Source organism: Homo sapiens, chromosome 5, assembly GCF_000001405.40.
Source record: "Homo sapiens chromosome 5, GRCh38.p14 Primary Assembly".
Classification (NCBI taxonomy): Eukaryota; Metazoa; Chordata; class Mammalia; order Primates; family Hominidae; genus Homo; species Homo sapiens.
In genome coordinates this window covers 57,649,341-57,671,706 of record NC_000005.10, presented here as the reverse complement: position 1 = coordinate 57,671,706, position 22,366 = coordinate 57,649,341, and the positions used below count along the sequence as shown (strand labels likewise).

The 22,366-nt window shown below is 38.5% G+C and overlaps 1 long non-coding RNA gene across 1 annotated transcript; it reads right to left on the bottom strand.

The window, feature by feature from the left end:
• Nucleotides 1-717: 717 nt before the first annotated feature.
• Nucleotides 718-21,047, bottom strand: LOC101928505 (uncharacterized). The gene is made up of 3 exons (NR_104668.1): nucleotides 20,948-21,047; nucleotides 6,195-6,456; nucleotides 718-2,017 (listed from the first exon to the last, which is right to left on the bottom strand). It is a non-coding gene; the product is annotated as an uncharacterized LOC101928505 (long non-coding RNA).
• Between the last annotated feature and the right edge of the window lie 1,319 nt (nucleotides 21,048-22,366).

The window sequence follows — 22,366 nt, the reverse complement described above, 5'->3', positions numbered from 1 at the left end:
ATAAATGAATAGGAAAATCTATAGGTTGACCTTTCTATAAGTAACACTTTATCTTTCCAATTACATCATTTTCATTTTGCATACCTTTGGGAAACTGTCACAGTTACTTACTTGTGTGATTCTTCAGATAAAGTGATGATAGTTACAAGCAGATAACTAATCTAACCTGAGCTCTGCATGAAGAATTCCTCTTTCAGGCATTTGCCAAACTTTAAGCTACACAGAAAAAGAGGTAAACAAAAGTGACTTAAAAGCAGGGCAGAAATCCTCAATAAAATGTTAGCAAATTGAATCCATCAGTGTATAAAAATATTAGTATACCATGACCAAGTGGAATTTATTCTAGGTATATAAGGACAGTTTGATATTCAAAAATCTATCATTATCATCCATAATATTAACAAACTAAACAAAAAAGTCATATGATTATACCAATTGACAGAAAAAGCATTTGACAAAATTCAACACCCATTCATTATAAAAACTTTCAATACACTAGGAATAGAAGGGAACTTCCTTAATCTCATAATAAGAAATTACATACACAAAAAAAAGAAACAATATCTATGTAATACATAATGGTGAAAGGCTAAATGCTTTCACTCTAAGATCAGGAACAAGGCAAGGAAATCTGTTTTCAGCACTATTATTCAACGTATTACTGGAAGTTCTAGTCATTATAACAAGCACACAAAAAAATAAAAGGCATACAAATTGGAAAAGAAATAAAACAGTCTTTATTCACAGATGACATAATCTCAACAAAATTGTATAGAATCTACATGTTGAAAATTACAAAATGTTGGTGAAAGACAAGAAGACCTAAATATCATGTTTATGGGTTAGAAGATTTAGTAAAGATACCAGTCCTCCCTAAACTGTTCTACAGTGTTATCGTATTTCCTATCAGAAGCTTAGTAAGGTATTTCACAGAAGTATGTACTTTTACTCTAAAATGTATACCAAAAGAAAAAGACCTTAAACAGCCAAAACGATTTTGAAAAAAGAAGAAGAAAGTTCATCTTCCTTTTATTAAAGTTTACTATATAGCTACAGTAATATATAGCTACAGTAATCAAGACAGTGTGGTATTGATAGCAAGATAGACAAAGCTAAGTGGTATAAAACAGAGAAAGCGGAAGTATGACCACATGAGTATGATCAATTAATTTTGGCAGAAGTACAAATAAATCATTAACCTTTTCAATAAATGCTATTAGAGCAATTGAACAACCATAGGCAAAAACATGAACCTTAACCTAAGCTTCACATCTTATACAAAAAAAATTAACTAAAAATGAATCACAGACTTAAATGTAAAACATAAAACTATAAAATTTCTAGAAAAAAAACTGCAGAAGATCTTCAAGACACATTAGGACTAGGTAAAGAGTCTTTAGATTTGGCACAAAAAATTTACATTCGTACACACACACACACACACAATTTTAATATACTATTTTTATTCCTGGATGTATGTTTATAATCTTTTGGTTATAGCCAAAGGAAAGGGTCTAATATGTTCTGACAGAGGATCATAGATCCTTATGTCCTGAAGGGGACTAGATCCTCCTCTAATAATACTGGTATTAAACATTCAGAATTGATAGATATGGTTTGTCTCTGTGTACCCACCCAAATCTCATCTCAAATTGTAATCCCCACATGTCGAGGAGGGAGCTGGTGGGAGGTGATTGAATCATGGGAGAAGGTTCCCCATGCTGTTCTCGTGATCATGAGTGAAGTCTCATGAGAGCTGATGGTTTTAAAGTATGGCACTTCCTCACTGTCTCTCCTGCCACCTTGTGAAGAAGGTGCCTTCTTCCCTTTTGCCTTCCGCTGTGATTGTAAGTTTCCTGAGGCCTCCCCAGGCATGAGGAACTGTGAATCAATTAAACCTCTTTTGTTTATAAATTATCCAGTCTCAGGTAGTATTTTTACATCAGGATGAGAATGAACACAAAGAATCTTCACCTTCAAAGCTACCTTAGTCTGCAAATGACTGCCAAGAAGTCATCTGGAAATAGGCAGAAAGAATCAGTGAGAATTATAATGATTTATGAATTTTTCCACTTTAAGCACCTAAATATGTACATATGAATCAAAGGACATATGTGATGTTATTGAATCCAGTAGTCCCTAACCTTGCGGTCACCAAGAAGCCTTCTTATTTTTCAGCAGTGCACTCTGTGTCAAAGATTTGTTTACTGAAGCAAATAACTATGAATTACTGAGGGCTTACTTTGTACCTGGTATTATAATAAGCATTTTACATACAGAATCTCATCTGATATTTTTTAAAAACTATAGGACAGGGACTATCAGTCACTATTTTATATATGAAGAAACTGAAGGCAGCTAAGGTCGAGTGATATAAGATCACAAAGCCAGTGGAATTGATATTATTGAATCTAGTATCTATGATCTGCTCATTTAAGTAAATATAGATTTCCAATAATAAATAATTTCTGGGGCAAATATTTGCTTAATTGCCTATACATGCACAGGATATATACATAGTCTCTGGAACTGAATTTTTATTAGTCCAACTTTGTCAAGGGAGTGAGACATAGAACAGAATGCATGGCTATTTCTATTTAGATGAAGCAAAGACTATATTTCACAGAGCATATGTCTTCGCTATTCTAGATTATTTGCTCATTCTTTAAATAGAAAATCTTCAAGAAACCAGCAAACTGAGATACCAAGAAGATAGTAAATTTAAAGGGACTATTAACTGAAGATCACCTAACATCATCATCTTTTTTGTGTGAAGTCTGCTCTGAAATGTGATTCAGGAGCAAGAAGATGCCAGTTATAGATTGCCTAGAATACCGAGTTAACCTAAAGAGAACTTTGGAAGGTGTTTCAGTTAACAGGGGATTTAGCAGTGACAGCTGAAAAGAAATTAACAGCACCAAATTTCAAGACATAAAACTCTTCAATTTATTTCTGGCAACATTTCTAAAACTCACAGTAACTATTTTACTTGGGTATTATCAGGTGAAATTTGTGGCTTTCTTCAGGAGCTAGTCACCCATTTACAAAAGCTTATAATCTTTAAGCTACTACTGACCTATCAATTATAGAGAATTTGGATGCTAAACATGGCATTTGAGCAAGCCAGCAGAACCTGTGATTCAGGTTTCTGCTCTCTGACCTCTAGGATTAGTGTTCTGAGGATTACACTATAATATCTTTAGTTTTTACAGCACCTTTTTCCAGAGTAAGGGGCAAGAATTTTTCTCTTTATTTTTCCAGAGAAGCAAAGCTTCTGAGGAAAAGCTTAGCCCTCTACAGCTGGTAAATATTTTCCAGTGAGGGGAGCAGCCGGCCATGGCAATAACCAGAGTTCTAGTCGTGTCTCTGGCCCATGCCTCTCTATAACTGGAGACTAGTCCCCCAGTTTTCTCCATTTCTGCAGCTGTAAAAAAGGATTATGACTAGCTGTCAAACAGGGCAGGCCTCTAACATTTATGGGTCCTAGGATATAAATATAAATAGACACTTTCAAATGCTCTGTTTTTCCTACCCTCCCTCACTGTCCTACATATGAGGGGTGTCATGTGGATACTTGTGGGTATAGTCAGGTATGAATATACCCATCCTCTCAAATAGCTGCCCCTCAGCCAACCCTGTGGCCTAGGGTTGAAAGCTCAGGGCTTCCTGGGGTCTCACATGCTGAAAGTGGAGCTGGGAGAGATGCAGACCCTGGATGGGGGCATCCCTTTTGCCATTCAGACTCCTCCCCGCTTGACGAATGGCAAAGCTAGAGGAAGAATAGAATGGACCCCTCTGAAGTGCAGGACCCTGGGCAAGAATCCAATTGCCCAGGTCTGAGGTGTCATGAACACTGATGAGAGACTGAGAAAGCAGAGAAGTGATTTGGGGAATAGGGAAGAAAAACAACAGGTCCTCTCCCCAACCAGTTAAAGATCAAACAGAAAAGTAAAACATTCATATGCATACAGTATGGGGCAAATGAAAAACCTACGTTTTATCTCTATCTTTACAGGGTTTCTTTTTCCAGAAGATGCATGTTTGGAATTCTGCAAGAACTCCTGATCACTTTAAAATGCCAATGCCTTTATTTTCAAGATGTACAGTTTCTGTCTTTTATCAAATAGAGGAACAAAATCTATTCTTCCAAAAAAAGGAAAAATGCACAATATCCAAATAAATTTTCCCCAGCTGCTTGCTGGATATTGGAATTAGATAACATGACATAAGAAGAATTTTGGTCTAATCCTAAGAAGGGAGTATGGTTGGTTCTCCTTTTCACTTAACATCTTAATCTCTTCCCCCGCTTTAAAAAGGAAGATCTATTTAATATCAAAATAACATGATGGTTTATGATGTTGGAGCTGAGAGACACAAGAGGCTGATTCAGTAAGTAAAGGTAATCAAGTAGTGGTTAGTAGCAAAAAAAAAAAAATTGACAAAGAGAAGGTAGAGCTCTCATCTGCCTTTGAGGCAGGAGGAAAAAATATTTCCTAGGCATAACAAGAAATGCATGGTAAGAAAATTCACTTCCTAATCCCAATGTCTATGGTGTCCATATTTCCACATCCCAAAACCTGGACAAACTGATACATGGTCCAAAAAATGGTCTTATATTAGAGAAAAACAATTCAATTCAGTCATGTCCCAGGAAATTCAGTATGTTTAGTGTTAAAAATTGCATAGCTTCCCTTTCTAACAGAATAGTTTATGGCTCTACTTTTTATATCTTACTAGTTAATGCTTATCTCCCCAAAAAGAGTAGAATAGAGACAAAGAAAACTTCACTGGATATACTCTATGTGTAACCATGCCTCCATGGATATAGTTGCTAAAGTCTTAAAGTTTCAACTTGGGAAATAGTAAATTTGGTGATAGAAAGGAAGGAAAAAAAAAGAAGGGAAATGACTCAGACTTTCTTCACTTAGCAACAAGCCAGGAACAGGATTCACCTGGGTACCCATGGACTTGGAAGACTTATACTCTTCCAAAATTTCTTCCATAAACTGAAAGTGGGTGAGTATAGGGAGGCTGCCTGCTCCTTAGACAACCCTAAAGGGCCATATTTTGATAGCCAAATTAGTAAGATGATCCAAGGATAATAATAGTTCATATTTACTAAGCATTTGCTATGTGAGAAGCAGTGTGCAAGGTACTTTGTATCCTTAGCAACTCTGTGAGGGAAGTGATGACATTCCCCTATTATATAAGAGAAAAATTACACTAAGAGAATTAGGTTATTTGCCAAGATCACAAAGCTCCCAGTCATGGAGTCAGGATTAAACTTCAGGTATGACTTTCCAAAGCCCTCTATTTCCCACTATGACCAAATTTCTTTAACCATGAAATCAGTGGCCAAAGTTTTGGTTGCTACTTTGAGCTGAAGAAATCCTGGAGTCATTAAATTATTATTTGTGCATTTCCTCTGCTATCTTTTTCTCTATGACATCTTACTCTGTAGAATGAGTCAAAAAGATCTCTGCATATGTGATTATCAAATCACCTACAAACTTGAGCTGGCAATCTTTGTGAGGCAAAAAGATAATATTTGTGCTTATGGAATTCAGAAGAATGTGAGTATACCTGTGCCTCTGGCTCTGTGCCTTGGTATCTGAGGTGCTGTGATTGCTTACCAGCTCTGATGTCATTTGCGTACTACGGGTGGTGTGGTGTGTGATTTGCAAGGACAGCCAACAAGAGATATTCCCATTTTTATAGGCACATGCCCATCACAGTTCAAGACTATTTCTCTTCCACTCCCCTGGCACGTGGGTTGGCCGTGTGATTTGTTTTGCCCAATAGAATATGAAAAAAATGATTCACACCACTTTGGTTCAGGACCCAGGCTTTAAGAGACCAGGCAGTTTCTCTTTTCATTCTTGTTTGAAGTCCTGAGCCACTATGTAAAGAAGTTCTGCTAGTCAACCAGACACATGACGTGTGGGGAGAAATGTCACCCAACAGCCAGAACCAACCACCAAATAATGTGAGTAAAGCCTTCTCGCCTCATTACCAAACCCCAGAAGAGTGCAGCCATGTAAGGATTCCAGCTGATAGCATATGGAAGAGAAAAATGAATCAGCAGAGCCCAGCCCCCTCACAGAATTGAAAGAAAGAATAGTTCTTGTTTTAAGCCGCTAAGTTGTGGAAGATCTTATTAGGTAGTAATAGGTAACTGATATAAGTGGTCTTACCATGGCTGTTGTCCCAGAACCAGCAACAAAGCAAAAATTTGCCTATCTTCCGGTGACCAGCATACAGGATACACATCCTAGGAACTGCAGGCCAACTGAAAATAGGTGGGAAGAAGAAGACCAACCTGACACCAGTTTTCTCTAGATCCTTAGTCATCACTGAATAAGACTGGCTCATCTAGCATGTTAAACAGAGTTGCTACAGGCCCTCTGGATCAATTAATCATCTTCCTTCCGTGAACATTTTCTTCAATCCATTGAACTAAGAAAGAAAAAAACAAGAATATTATTTTAAAGCTATGAACCACAAATTTATGTGCTAAAGTAGGCTTGAAATTTCACTTCGTAGAGCCCAACTACTAAGCTACCCTTGACATCCCTAAGACTCTCTTCAAACTGTCCCCAGACAGCAGTTCTACATCTCAGCAAGAAGTGCAAATAAATTCTGCTGTCTCTTAGGCATCTTCTCTTAAAAGGCAGAATCTCACTACCTCCATGAGAAGGAGGAAATGTTTCTCTCAAGTTCCCAGGATGCACCACAAGTGATATAATATTCTCAACCAGGTGTTCCATTCATGGGAGATATTTGCCCTTTGATCTACTTGGCACCAGACATGTATAGAAGTGGACACTTCAGTTTCTCAGTGCTACTCCATTTGGAAAGTCCTTTCAAAATGTCTTTCCCCATTGTACAGGCTTAAGAAAGCTTCATTCTGAACAACTTCGGAAGGTATATGATGTTGAAACCAGTGAAAACCTTGTTCTAGTTTTGTTTTATAAATGCATAAAGTTTTTTAAGATCCTCATTTTACAGAAAAGCAATCTCTACAAAAGAAATGAGACACAGAAAATAATGAAACTCATTCTATAGAGAGTAAATTGACCAATTTAATTTGGGAAAAGGCAGGATAAGGGAAGACTTTATTATAAGCGAATTACATCTGAATTTAGTAATCAGAAAGAAAGAACATCTGCCTGTGTCTTCATGATGGTGGATTGCTTTGGAAGTGGTACTAATAAAAGAGGAGGCTGTGAGTAGGAAGAGGACTTCTATCAAGAGTCAGAAAACAATTATTTTCAAACATGGGATAAGAAGGTCAAAGGACAAAGAAAAAGGAAGCTGCCAGAGTCTTTGAGACCTAATAAAAAGAGGAAATTAGAGTGAGAAAAGCCCACTCTGGGTCTGAGAACAAGTATTCCTGGGACTAGTTCTTAAGAATAGTTAAGGGTTACTTAAACAGAGATACTACGTACATGAAAGATTTTACATTGTATTGTTATTTTTTATTGGCTAAAGTTTTGAGGCTTATTGAAATTAGTTGTTTTAACATGGGCACAGAGAGGGCAACATCACACACCAGGGCTTGTCAGGGGGTGAGAGGCAAGGGGAGGGAGAACATTAGGACAAATACCTAATGCATGTGGGGCTTAAAACCTAGATGACAGGTTGGTAGGTGCAGCAAACCACCATGGCACATGTATACCTGCACATAACAAACCTGCACATTCTTCAGATGTATCCCAGAACTTAAAGTAAAATATAAGAAAAGAAATACAAGGCATGTAAGCACAGTTATGATCTGAACCCTACTGCAGAATGATTTGTAAAGAACTAGGAAATAAAGTTTAGAAATTAGGAGGTACCTAAAAAAAAAAAAAGAAAAAGAAATTAGTTGTTTTAATAAAGATCTCTCTTCATTTATTTGAAAAAAAAAAAAAGTGTGGGGGGGGTGCGGAATTCTCTTTTCCATGCTGAGCAGCCACCTTATTATGTCACAGGGTTTGAGCCATTTGACCATGACTCTACTTCACGAGTCTATTGAAAGCATATCAGTATCTGGCTGCTAAAAAGGGAAATTTATCTCCTGGGTCATGGGAGAGCATGATAGCCATGCATACCCTCTTTGCATTTGACTTTCAAGGCATCCCTTGGCTGCCACAGCTCTAACAAATTCCCTTGGTCAGAAAAGAGCAGCTTCTTCTGCTCCCCTGCTGCTCCTTGGTTCTTAACATCTATCTTGCCTCAATACCTCAATGCACTTTTGAGTCTCAGTTTCCATACACTCCAGGCAAACTTTGATTTAATTAATTGTGTTGTATCACAGACTGGATAGTTAATCATTTTCTGGAGAAGGCACATATTCCCTTTGAAACCTCATTTTCATTTTTAAAAAGCCAACATTCCAGTGAATGTATCACTTCCTTATTTAGAAAAATATTGTCTGCTCTTTGCAGGCCAGATTCTCCAACTCGCTCAAACTAGAATATCTAACATTTATGGAATACTTACTCTGTGCCAGCCACTAAGCAAAATGTCTCTCGGCAACCAGCGGAGGGAGATATGATTCTCTTCATCTGAGACCTAGCTGAGATGATGCCTGGCTGTGCCCTAGTGAGTGGTACAGCTAGACCTTGACCTTTTATTCCCTGTCTCTAGGGACTATTGCCTCCTGGGAGTGCAGAAATAGAGGCTACAATTTACTAGACGAAGTCTCCTCAATCAGCTGTCAGAATGATTTCTACAAAATATTCTCTCAAAAACCACTTTGAATTTCTTATCAATAACTTGATATTAAGTATCACCGTAGTCCAATCAATCAAAAATTTGGTTTTCAAATCTATACTGTTGATTTATAACAACTCTGACCCCAGTTGTTGAGTACAATATGATTAAATAAGATATTTCTCAATTCATTTTCAGTAAGATATCTAAATTCATGCTATGTCTTTTTCTCTTCATTATATATACTAAAAGAAACCATGCCAATCAGTAGACTGTCTACCACCTACAAGGTTTAATAGAAAGAGGCAAAACTACTTAAATGACAGTCAAGAGAACTTCCCCAGCTACGATTTCATTGAAAATGGTATTTTTTTCTAGATATCCTGTCTTTATCATTCTAGTTTGTCCTCCACACTTCTCAACCCTGGTGTCTGCCCAGGAGACTGTCACATTTGGATAACATCAATATAACCTCTTGCCATTGGCTCTGGAGGAGCAGTGTCAAGTGATCAGAGGTGGGAAGAGAGTGAGGGTGCTGATTATTCCTCAGACTCACCATGCTGGGCCATGGGTGGCCACATTGCCCCAGTGAGGGCCCTGGCACCAGTCGCACAGCCCTTCATACAGCTCCCCCTCCGGGTTCTAACCTCTCCTTCTATTTGTCCCTTCAGGCCTCCCAGTGTTAAGAGTCCATATTAACACAGGGTTACATGCCATCCCTTGTTGCTTTTCTTAAGCCATGTCCATACCCTTGTAAATAGTCTTTTTATCAAACTCGGTTCAAATTACCCAGTCTTAATGTGCCATCTGTTTCCTGTTGAAATCTTGACTGATACAATATTGAAAATATTGGCAAGAATCTACAAGCCTCACCAAAACATGATTATTATATAAAATCCCTATTTAAGATACAATCTCAAAAATTACAAGAGACAGCTCTTTTCTGAAGACCTGGCTTTCATTTATGGTGGGTTAATTACTCATTGTCTCTGAATAAGGTGGAAAAAGATCTATTTCTCTCTCTGTGAGTAAAAATATTACCAATATAATGTAGCAAAACAGAAAGAGATCTCTATACCTTGATAATTATTGAAGTTAAGATGCCCTGACCTGCAATGCTGTTTAAGAGTTGAGAACATTTGGAAGTACCAAGGATCCTCCTTGCTCTTTCTGACCCCTTTGCCTTCCTGACTCAGAGTAACATAGAAGAACATTGCTCTCCAGAAATCTGGGATTCAGTCCTTGTTCTGCCACCTAGTAACTCTGACTTTGGCTATTTTATCTAATCTTCCTAAGGCTTATTTCTATTATAGGCTGAATGTTTGTATCCTCCCAAAATTCATATATTGAAGCTCTAACCCCCAACATGGTGGTATTTGGAGATGAGATCATTGAGAGGAAATTGGGATTTAATGAGATCATGATGGTAGGGCCCCATGATGTGATCAGTGCCCTTATAAAAAGAGAGACTAGAGAGCTTGCTCCCCCTCCTACATATAAAGATACAGTGAGAAGGTAGCTGTCTGCAAGCCAGGAAAAGAGTCTTCACCAGAAACAACCCTCTATCAGACCTTGAAATTTCCAGCCCCCAGAACTGTGAGAAGATAAATTTCTGTCGTTTAAACCACATAATCTGTTTTTTTTTGTTAAGGCAGCCTGAGATGACTGAGACAGTTTCTGTCCCTTTAAATTAGAGATGATCATACTAGACTACCCATGTTGGAATTCTCCTCTCACATTTACTAGTTGCAGAGCCTTGGTTAGTTTGGTTAATTGAAACTCAGTTTCCTTATCTATAATAATTAGAATAATAATAGTAATACTTTTAGGTTTGTTGGGAGGATTCAATTAAAAAAACTTAAGAAAAGTACTTATCACAGTGTCTGGCACTTACTAAATCTCCATATTAATCATCATTATCACTGCTATGGAAACACAGAATGAATAACTCTCCCAGGAATAGGGTAGAATCAGCAAAGGCTTCTTAGAAGTGAAGAAGAAAGGAAGCAGGAGAATATCCTATAGTCAGCCTTTATTGCATTCCCCAAATATCTAAACCAATGTTAGCTATGTAACAGTAAGTGCTAATTCCCTGCTCTTTGATTGATGTATTAATATTTGAAAAAATAATTGAATTACAAATGCTTGAATTGAGTAGTGTAGAAGTTACATTATGAGCAATTGAAGAGTAACTGTGGAAGGTGAGCTGACTAGTAAGGAAGGAATTGAGTAGGCACTTCATGAGTTCACTGATTGCCACTTTGACATGGGATAGGAGGCAGAGATAATGTGGGGAGCCACAGAGAGGATGAACTTAATATTAAACCTCTGTATGACAGGGTGAATACCCTTACTGAATTCTGTGAGTGTGAATTCCAAAATTCACCAGATTATAGATTTTTTCAAGTCAAAAATCACACTTGATTTTACATTTGGCTCCCACTCACTAGAAGCATCTCAGAGCAATAAGCACATAGTAGATTTCAACACATACACTGAATAGACAATTGTTGAATAGGCTGTGCCTCACACTGCCAGTCTGTTGAAGAAGACTTCCTGGAAAAGAAGAATCTGAGGAACCACTTGAATGACAAGAACAAGACGGTGAATAAGTTCAGGCAAAGGGGTTTGTTACCAGGCAGAAAAAAGGTAGGAAAGGGTCAGGTTTTTAACTAACTTCTCATAGATTTTGGAACCTTGTTTTCAAATGTTGTTTTTAAAAAATTTTTGTAAAAAATTTTTTTTACAAATGAGAATGAGGAAAAAGAGAGAAAAAAGGAGGGGAGGAGGAGAACAAGAGGAAAGGAAGGAGGGAGGAAGGAAGAGAAAAGGAAAAATAGTGACCTAAAACCTCTGAGAGAAGCCCAGAGACAGACTGAAGTGAATACTCCAGAAAGGTCAGGAGACCTCACTTCTCCTTCTGTAAGAAATGTGGATGTTGAAACCAGTTGTAGGATGAGGTGGTGGCTCCACGATCCAAGCCTGATTAATATGAATAAGGAAGAGGAAAAACTGCTCAATTATAGACCCTCACATCCCGTGTTTCTCTAGATTTGACAAAGTTCATTCAATTAATAACCATGGAGTTTTAGAGGAGCTCACCACTTTGCTAGGCCCTATTGCTGCAGCATAATGGGAGATTGCAGAAGGAACTACAATAGATGTCTAGTTCCAGTGACTTTCCATGTTGAAGGACAGGAAACACAGAAAGGGGACCATATAAAAAAAGAATATTACATGTAGGAGAGATTGACTCAAACACCAAAATTTTAAATCATTTTTAATTAAAAGACTGTTGAGAGAAGAAGGAGATGAGTAAAAGAAGATTTCTTATAGAATGTGAGTCTGAGAAATGCCCTGAAAGAAATGGAGAGTCTGGCTTGGCTGCAGTAGGTAAGATCATTCCAAATTAGGGTTGGGGAATGATCTCAGGGAATGTTGGATAAAGATAGGCAAGATCTATTTATCACTTAGAAATTGTGTTCCATGCTTATACACTGTTAGTGGGAGTGTAAATTAGTTCAACAATGTTGAAGACAGTGTGGAGATTCCTCAAAGACCTAAAGACAGAAATATCATTTGATCCAGCAATCCCATTACTGGGTATAGACCTAAAGGGATATAAATTGTTCTATTATAAAGATACATGCATGTAATTGTTATATTACAAAGTTCATTGCAGCACTATTCACAATAGCAAGGACATGGAATCAACCTAAATGCCCACCAGTGATAGGCTGGATAAAGAATATATGGTACCTCATGGAATATTATGCAGCCATAAAAAAGCATGAGATCTTGTCCTTCACAGGGACATGGATGGAGCTGTAGGCCTGTATCCTTAGGAAGCTAACACAGAAACAGAAAACCAAATACCACACGTTGTCATTTGTAAATGGGAGCTAAATGATGAGAACACACGGCCACATAGAAGGGAACAACATACACTGGGACCTAGCAGAGGGTGGAAGCTGGGAGGAGGGAGAGGATCAGGAGAAATAACTAATAGGTACTAGGCTTCATACCTGGGTGGTGAAATAATCTGCACAACAAGCCCCCATGACACAAGTTTACCTAGGTAACAAACCAGCATATCCTGCACATGTCCCCTGAACTTAAAAGATTTTTTAAAAATAGAAATTGTGTTCCAAACCCCCCAAAATACTATGTTGAATATATTCAGGGTTAATTTTTCTCCAGTATAAAAGAAGTCCAAAGGGAGCTAAGCTAGGTCTGTTGTGGTACTCCTCGATGTCATTGGAGATCCAGGTTCTTTCTAGTTTTCTATTTCACCATCCTTTGGGCATGACACTTGTGTTCTCAAGATAGCTACTGAAGCTCCACCCATCCTACACATGTTTCAGACAAAAGGAAGAAAGAATAGGTAGGGCAAATAGGCACATACTTCCCCTTTGAAGAGACTCCCCAACAACTTCCATTTATAGCTCATTGGCTGGAATTCTCTCATACGGTTACCCAAAACCGGCAAGGGAGGCTTAAGAATTTAGCTGTTTAGCTTGGCATGTTTCTACAGCCAATAGAATCAAATACTTTAAACTGAGGGATAATTCTAGAGTTCAGCAAGAAATAACAGGAAAAAGTTTTCACACCAAAATGAAGGGTACATGTAAGAAACTAACCCTGTAATTTGTGGCCTATGTCAAAGACTGAAGAGGGAGTTCAAGCCAGAGTGAAAGTTGTTGCTCTTGCAAAGCAGGCTGGTTTTCAAAAGATGGGTTAAAAGGTTGTCATGGAGCTCTTGAAAAACTGCATGCAGAGGAATTAAGAGCAGAATTTGTTCCATTTGCAATGTCAATCAGTGTGGAAATGTGCTCAGGACCAGCCAAGCACACAATAGCACATGGCACTAAATATGACACTGAGATAACTCTTTTAGGACCGTGAACATACAAATGTATCTCTTAAAACCTTCAAGCTCCCCTTGCTGACATTTGGTGCATTTTCAGACTTTGTCTTTATGTGATTTTGATTTCCAATAGTTGAATTTGAAATATAAATCAAGAAGTTTCCACAATAATTTTTACCATTTTGGAAAAAGTAGGATTTTTTTTTTATTTTAAGAATATAAATGCACAGGCATACCTGGGAGATATTGTGGGTTCAGTGCCAGACCACCACAATAAAATGCATATCACAGTAAAGTGGGTCACAAGCATTTGTTGGTTTATCTGTGCATATAAAAGTTATCTTTACACTGTACTGTAGTCTATTGAATGTACAATAGCATTGTGTCTTTAAAAAGTATATACCTTAATTAAAAAATACCTTATTGCTAAAAATGCTAACGAACATCAGAGCCTTCAGCAAGTTATAATCTTTTTGCTGCTGGAGAGTCTTGCTTCGATTTTGATGGTTGCTGACTGATCAGTATGCTGGTTGCTGAAGTCTAGGGTGACTGTGGCAATCTCTTAAAATCAGACAACAATGAAGTTTGCCACATTGATTGACTTGTCCATGAAAGATGTCTCTGTAGCATGTGATGCTGTGTGACAGCATTTTACTCACAGTAGAACTTCTTTCAAAATTGGAGTTAATCCTCTCAAACCCTGCTGCTGCTTTACAACTAAATTTATGCAATATTCTAAATCCTTTGTTGTCATCTCAGTAATGTTCACAACATCTTCACCAGAAGTAGATTCCATCTCAAGAAACCCCTTTCTTTGCTTCATCCGTTAGAAGCAACTTCTCACTGGTTCAAGTTTTATCATGAGATTATGGGAATTCAGTCACATCTTCAGGCTCCACTTCTAATTCTAGGTCTCTTGCTATTTCCACCACATATGCAGTTACTCCCTCCACTGAAGTATTGAACCTCTCAAAGTCATCTGTGAGAGTTGGAATCAATGTATTTCAAACTCCTGGTAATGTTGATATTTTGACCTCCTCTCATGAATCATGAATGTCATTAATGGCATTTAGACTGGTGAACCCTATTCAGAAGGTTTGTAATGTGCTCTGCCCAGATTGATCAGAGGAATCACATGTATGGCAGGCATAGCCTTGTGAAATATATTTCCTAAATAATAAGACTTGAAAGTCAAAATGACTTCTTGATCCATGGGCTACGGAGTGGATGTTGTGTTAGCAGGCATGAAAAAAAATTTATCTCTTTGTACATCTCCATCAGAACTCTTGGGGGACTAGACGAATAGTCAATAAGCAGCAATATTTTGAAAAAAATCTTTTTTTCTAAGCAGTAGGCCTCAACAATAGGTTTAAAATATTCAGGAAACCACTCTGTAAATAGCTATGCTATCATCTGGGCTTTGTTGTTCCATTTCTAGAGCACAGACAGAGTATAGTTCACATGATTCTTAAGGACCTTAGGTTTTTCTGAGTTGTAAATGAGCATTGGCTTCACCTTAAAGTCACTAACTGCATTAGGCCCCAGGAATGTCTGCTGGTCTTTTGAAGCTTTGAGGCCAGGTATTGACTTCTCTCTATGAAAGTCCTAGATGGCAACTTCTTCCAACAGGAGGCTGTTTCATCTACATTGAAAATCTGTTGTTTAATGTACACACCTTCATCAATTAACTAGCCAGATCTTCTGAATAACTTGCTGCAGCTTCTCCAACAGCACTTGCTGTTTCACCTTGCAATTAGATTACAAAGATGGCTCCTTTCCTTGAACCTCATGAACCAACTTCTGCTAGCTTCAAACCTTTCTTCTTCAGCTTCCTCATCTCTCTCAGCCTTTAGAGAATTAGTGAATTAGGGCCTTGCTCTGAATTAGGCTTTGGCTTAAGGGAATGTTGAGGCTGACTTGATTTTCTATCCAGACCACTAAAATTTTCCCCATATCAACAATAAAGCTGTTTTGCTTTCTTTCTTTTTGTGTGCACTGGAGTAGCACTTTTAATTTCCTTCAATAAATTTTTCTTTGCATTCACAGCTTGGCTGTTTGGTACAAGAAGCCTAGCTTTCTGTCCATTTCAGCTTTTAAAATGCCTTCCTTACTACACTTCATCATTTCTAGCTTTTGCTTTAAAATGAGAGCACTGCCACTCTTCTTTTCACTTGGACACTGAGCGGCCATTGTAGGGTCATTAATTGGTCTATTTCAATATTGTCGTGACTTGGGAAATAGGGATGTCCAAGGAGAAGAAGAGAAATATGGGAATGACTGGTCAGTGGACAAGTCACAACATGCATATTTATCAATTAAGTTCACCAACTTACATGGGTGCAGTTCGTGGCATCCCAAAATAATTATGTTATTAACATCAAAGATCACTGATCACAATCACCATAATATATATAATAATGAAAAAGTATAAAATATTGTAAGAATTACCAAAACGTGACACAGAGACATGAAGTGAGCACGTGCTGTTGGAAATATGGTGCCGATAGACTTGCTTGACGCAGGGTTGCCACAAACCTTCAATTTGTAAAAAAAAATGCTATCTGAAAAGTGCAATAAAGTGAATGCAATGAAATGAAGTGTGCTTATAATTTCTTATAAACGTTGTCAAAAATATTGATTTAAGACCTAAGCATGTTGTTTGAAGTTATAAAGTCCAAGAGGCATTCTACCAGGAAAAGGCTATCCAAGGCCATGTTTTGAAGAGCAATCCTGCACTGCACAATGTACATACTGAGAGCCCAGCAAGACGGAAGGTAGAAGAATGGTTACCAGAGGCTGGGAAGGGTATTGGGAGGTGTCGGGGAGGAGGGGATGGTTAGTGGGTACATAAAAATAGAATGAATAAATAAGGCCTAGTATTTGACAGCACAACAGGGCAACTATAGTCAATAATAATTTAACTGTACATTTAAAAAAATGAAAAGAGTATAATTGGATTGTTTATAACACAAAGGATGAATGCTTGAGGGAATGGACACCCCATTTCCATGATGTGATTATTATGCATTGCATACCTGTATCAAAACATCTCATGTACCCCGTAAATACATACACCTACTGTATACACACAAAAATAAAAAATAAAAAATTATTTTTAACAAAAAGATATAATCACATATGGTAGCAGGGCCCTTGCATAGTTCAAAGCCAGTGAGGCTACCGCCTGCACCATAGTCTATGTTAATTGCACCCCTGGAGTACAACTCCATAGACTATCCATGCAGTTGCCCTGGTAACAGATGTATACGGAAGAGGATGCACTTCTATAATTACAATGTAGCAATTACAAAAAATAATTTTAATACTTTATCCTCATAAATATTTTACAATTTTTAAAATTTTACATGTAAACAAGTCTGGGTCAATTTTTTTAACAGCAGAGGAAACATTTTCAGGACTGCTTAGTGCCTTATCCAGGGTCACAGATACCATTGGTCAACTGAGTACACCTACATGTGTTAAGCCTGCACCTAAATAAGCAGGGTTGAGTCTTTCTTGAAGTTATTCAGATCATGCCATTGTTAACATATATTTACCATTATCAGTGGCAAGTGTTGAAAGAATACGCATCTCTTTTTCTTCCTTTGCTTATGCAAATAATAGAGGAGCCTCAGACACTACAAAATGTTAATTTGTTTAATTATATGGTTTAAGAATTTTTTAAAAATCTTTGGCCCCCTCATATCCAAAACTCACCCTCATCTAAACAAAACAAAACAAAATTCCTAGTTTAAGTTTTTGCTAAAGGCACTAGACTTGGAGTCAAGAGGCATGGGGTGTATTTCTAACTCTGTAACTAAGCAGTGTTCTAATCTCTAGGGACCTCAATTTCTCCCTGTGTAAAAAATGAGGGAGTTAGAACTTCTACACCTTTTTGGCTGTACAGTCCAGGATTCAGTGCTGGCCTGCTTAAAAACCCATTTAGTCTACTGAAAGGAGTTGGCTATTCCAAAAGTAAAGCTCCCTGACAGTAAAGAATAACGCCAGACAACAATGCCAGCCCATGTGACAAGATGGCACTATAAATAGACAGCCCAGAATATCTGTTCATAGGACTAGCGGCTGGTAGCTCATCAGCTGCCTGGAGCTGCTATAGATTCACAAGAAACTTCTTTGTTTGGCTCTCCTCCCTTAGTTCTAAAAATCCAGTAGCTAATTTGAGATTTAGCACTAATATATCAATGTTGTATGTGGCTTAATACACTGACAAGCTTGTGGAAATAGGTTTATTGCTTGTACATGCTCGGTTCATGCCTTCCAGAAGAAGATTTGAGAGACAGTCCTGCTCTGTCTCCTCAGCTAACCCTCCTCATAATAACCTGGGATTGTCTTTTAAAATAGGACAGTGAACTGTAGCCATGCCAAACCACAGAGATGAGCTCTGAAAAAAGTCATGTTAAGGGAAGGAAAGATCACTAAATAATGCAAAGATACATTTTCAAATTTTACTTTTCCTAAAGTTCAAGGCACCTGTTAGTCTAAGAGAAAGATTAGATTTAGGGAGAAGGATGCTTATACCCTCACCACTATGAGCAACAGACATACACACATGCACTTGTTTCTCTCGAATTCCTCCTATATCCCTCCAGTTTCCAATTCTTTCTTAAAGCCACCTATTCATTTTCTCTACTTGCATTGCATTTACCTTCTCCCACCTTAAGTTTCTACACTTATTCCTGTGTTTTTTTTCTTGAAAAACTTCTTAAAATCTCATCTTCAAGAAATGCCCCCAATTTTTCAAAATGCAGCCAGAATTTTTTTTAAAATAGTATAAATAAACTTTGAAATGGTTTTACTAAACACTTTCTGGTTTTTTTAATTTAACATTGATAATTCACAGAAAACAATCATTTGAACATGTAAGCAAACAGCATTTGATTGCAACTGTATTTACACAATAATCATGGGTAAACCTGTCTTTAAAAAATAAAGTCATCGAGCATTGTAATTCTTTCCATCTCAATGCCAGCCCATAATACCTGCTCTATGGGGTGTGGCTAGGTTTTTTTCCCTGCCCCTGGATGAAATGTTAAGGAGCCCAAAAGATTTTCTCTGTTTGTTGAACAATTAAAAATTCTATAGTCATTTCTACTTGCAAGAACTGTCTCATTTCACTAATTCAAACAGGTTCTTGTAATAGTTAAAATTCCACAAGTCATTTTAAGTTGACTATTTCTCCCTACTCCAGATTGGGCCTCCTTCGGAAACTTACAGTGGAAAACAAAGAAAGCAGACATCTTGTTTCTCTGTCAGCTTCTCTCTACCTTATACCCAAATCCGCAGGATTGCAAGGGGAGAGAAACAAAAGAAAAGAAAGCAGGAAAAGACCTGCTTGATTTGCTCAGTGTTGATGCTCTTGGTGGTGTGACCAAAGCTGACTTTTTTCTTGAGCATATGATTGTGAATTCTTCAGAGGTCCCTGATGTATCTTCTTTAGCTGACCAATTGCTACTCCTCATCAGCTCCTGCCTCTGCAACCAACCCCACATTCTCATACTTCCAGGGCCCCCTTGCCTTTGCAGAATTCATTTCAGAGGCTCCAGCTTTCACATCAGGCCCATGGGAAAGTACCCCCTTCATGCCAAATGGTGAAAGTGCAGCCTTAGCTCTTTCCCCACCTTCATACATGGCTTCAGCCAATATTTCATTTCAAGATTATCTTCCATAGTACACAGACAGTAAACTACTGTGTCCCTCCAAATCCAGGAACACATCAAGATTCCTGATTGGTTACCTTGCAGCACTTTACACTAGATTGAAGTGAGAGTGAAGCACCCAGCACTTTTCCGGTGTTGGGAGTGAGGGCAGACTCCCAGTACACAGAAAATCCTCTGTTTAAATATCAATCCTTCTTATGCTCAAAGTGCATATTGAGATAAATGTCATAAAATCAGCCCTTCTCTACTGCACTTGAACATCCTGCACAGGTGATCTCACAGCATGTGCTGGATGGGAAAGTACTTGCCCTCTGCTGCCTTCTCAGACAAATTGGGTACAGTCACATAGAAAAAAACTCCTTTTAAATATCCTTTACTTACATCTATAGATATTATTCTACACATCAAAACATTTCTATAAACATATTACCTTTCCATAATATAAAAAACTAAAATTCAGGTTTTATAAATTTCAAGATGGCTGACTAGAGAGGTCACATGTAAGTTCTCCTCAGAAAGAAGAATGGAACGTAGAGGTAAATAATCAAAACTCACATAGAATATTAAAGAGAGGGTGCCGGAACTATTGGAGAACTCACAGGAAGAAGCTACCATACAGAAAAAGACAGAAGCAAAAGGCTGGCTGAGATCAAACCCTCCTGAGGGACTTGGTATTTCATCAAAAAGGTAAATGTTCTTGGCTCCCTTCACCCTTGCAGCAGACTGCTGGTTTCCAAACTTTAGAGGTCTCCTCTGCTTTCATGAGCCCAAGCACTAGTATGGGTGGTGATTTGGTAACTTTTTGAGGACATCACACCAGACTACCAACTTGCACACAGTCACTCACCCTGTTCCTGGACCCAAGCTGTGGTAGCAGGTGCCATATTTGCTGCATACCCATTGTGAGACTGTTTTCTGCCCAGGTAACCTCAGCCCTTGTGTCTCCACATTGCCAGATCTCCCACAGACATTCCCCAGCACCAGCTGGGATTGTGACAGCCACACAGGCCTGACTGGACCTAGAGAAGCTGCAGAATGCCCATGGCCCAGGTCTCAGGGAGTGCTGCTCCTAAGGGAAGAGAGAGTGCAGCCCACCAAGGAAGTACCTCTTCCCTGGGGCAAAGGAAACCAGAGCACATTCTTTCCTGTGCTTGAGAGCTTCCACTTATGCGGTAAAGTTGACTGTGTCTCTTCCAGCAGAGACAAAGATGCCATGCTCAGCTCTGTGGGAAAGGAATATGTTCCACCCCAGTGGCCATATGGCCCCAGTGCTTGAGCATGGCTGTGGAGAGGGAGACCTCTTTTTTCTACCCTCCCCACAACTACTGCAGAAACAGCCATGGCTGCACGCATAGGAGACTGACATAGGCATGCTGGTGGATGGTCATTCTAGGACTGTTAGGGGTGGATGTACCCCATTGGCAGTGTGCTTACCAGGCCCAGGCTTGCAAAATGGCAGGGCCCTTCCCACTCTCTACATAGAGCAGCAGCATTCCTGAAGCAGAGAAGAGGAGAGCCTCAAAGTTTTACGTTTTGGGCTGAGAAAAGAAGTTCCACACCATAACCACATTGGTAGAGAATCACAGAGCAGGTACCTTTCATGGCTCTCAGATTCACTGCAGCTTGGAGATAGTGAGGTCTGTCTGACCCGAATGTCTGGAGTGCCAGGACAGAAACATGACAGGAAGGTGAATTGCATTCCTACCTGGCCAGGCCGTGGAGCTGAGGTAGAAACCTCAGCAGAAGCCTCAGCACATTTCACCAGGAGCTCCCTCAACCACCCAGTCAGGTCTGGTGCTCGTGTTTACCGTTGGGATATCTGAGGTCAAAGTTGAGCTTGACAGTCCAGCTCCACCCAGCTTTGTGGGTGGTCCACAGAACAGCCCATTGGCTGAAGCAAAAGAGAGCTTCTCTCAGTAAACAAAGATCAAGTATATGCCCATCTGCTTCTGCAGATAGTCAGCTGTTACCTGTAAATGCCACCTACTGGCCTGGAGATTGAACTGCACAGTGTAATACAAAACCTGCTGACACAAGCGCACAACAGTGAGGAATGAGCTAAGATTCCTGAGACTTCCTCTATCCTGATACCCAAGGAGGCAGTGAACCTGCTCACAAACCCACCCAGTATGTAGCTACAACCAGCATTTGAGAAAGCCACCACACAAAAGCTATCTATAACCATGGAACACACATAGAATCCTTGCCACTGAAAGCATCCAGAACCAAAGTAAAATAACCATACACAGCATACAGCATAGTCACATCCTCAAGGAGGAAAAAAATTCCTTTCCAAACGAAAGTAAATTCAAAAAAAAGAAAGAGAGAAGAAGAGATAGTTTATCTAGATGAAAAGGAACCAGAGGAAAAATTCTGGTAATATGAAAAAACAGAGTGTTAAAACACCCCAGTGAATCACATTAACTCTCTAGCAATGGATTCTAATCCAAAGGAAATCTTTGAAATACCAGATAAATAATTCAAAATATTGATTTTAAATAAGCTCAATGAGATACAAAAGAAAATTGAAAACCAACACAAAGAAATTAGAAAAACAATTCAAGACATCAATGAAAAAATTGCTGAAGAGGTAGACATTAAAACAAAACACACACACAAAGAACATCTAGAAATGAAGAATTCATTGAATTACAAAATATAGTTGAAAGCTTTAATAATAGACTAGACCAAGCAGAAAAAAGAATTTCAAAGACAGATCTTTTGAATTAGCCCAGTCAGACAATAATAAAGAAAACAGAATTTCATAAATGAACAAAGCCTTTGAGGAGTATGGAATGATGTAAGACAACCAAATGCACAAGTCATAGCTATTTCTGAGGGAGATGTAGAGAAAGTTAAAAGTTTGGAAAACTTATTTGAGTAAATAATTAAGGAAGATTTCCTTAGGCTTGGTAGAAATTTAGACATCCATTTCTGGAGAGGTTGTGGAGAAAAAGGAACGCTTATAGACTGTTAATGGGAGTGTAAATTAGTTCAACCATTGTGGAAAACAGTATGGTAATTTTTCAAAGTCCTAAAGACAGAAATACCATTTGACCCAGCAATCCCATTACTGGGTATATACCCAAAGGACTATAAATCATTTTATTATAAAGACACATGC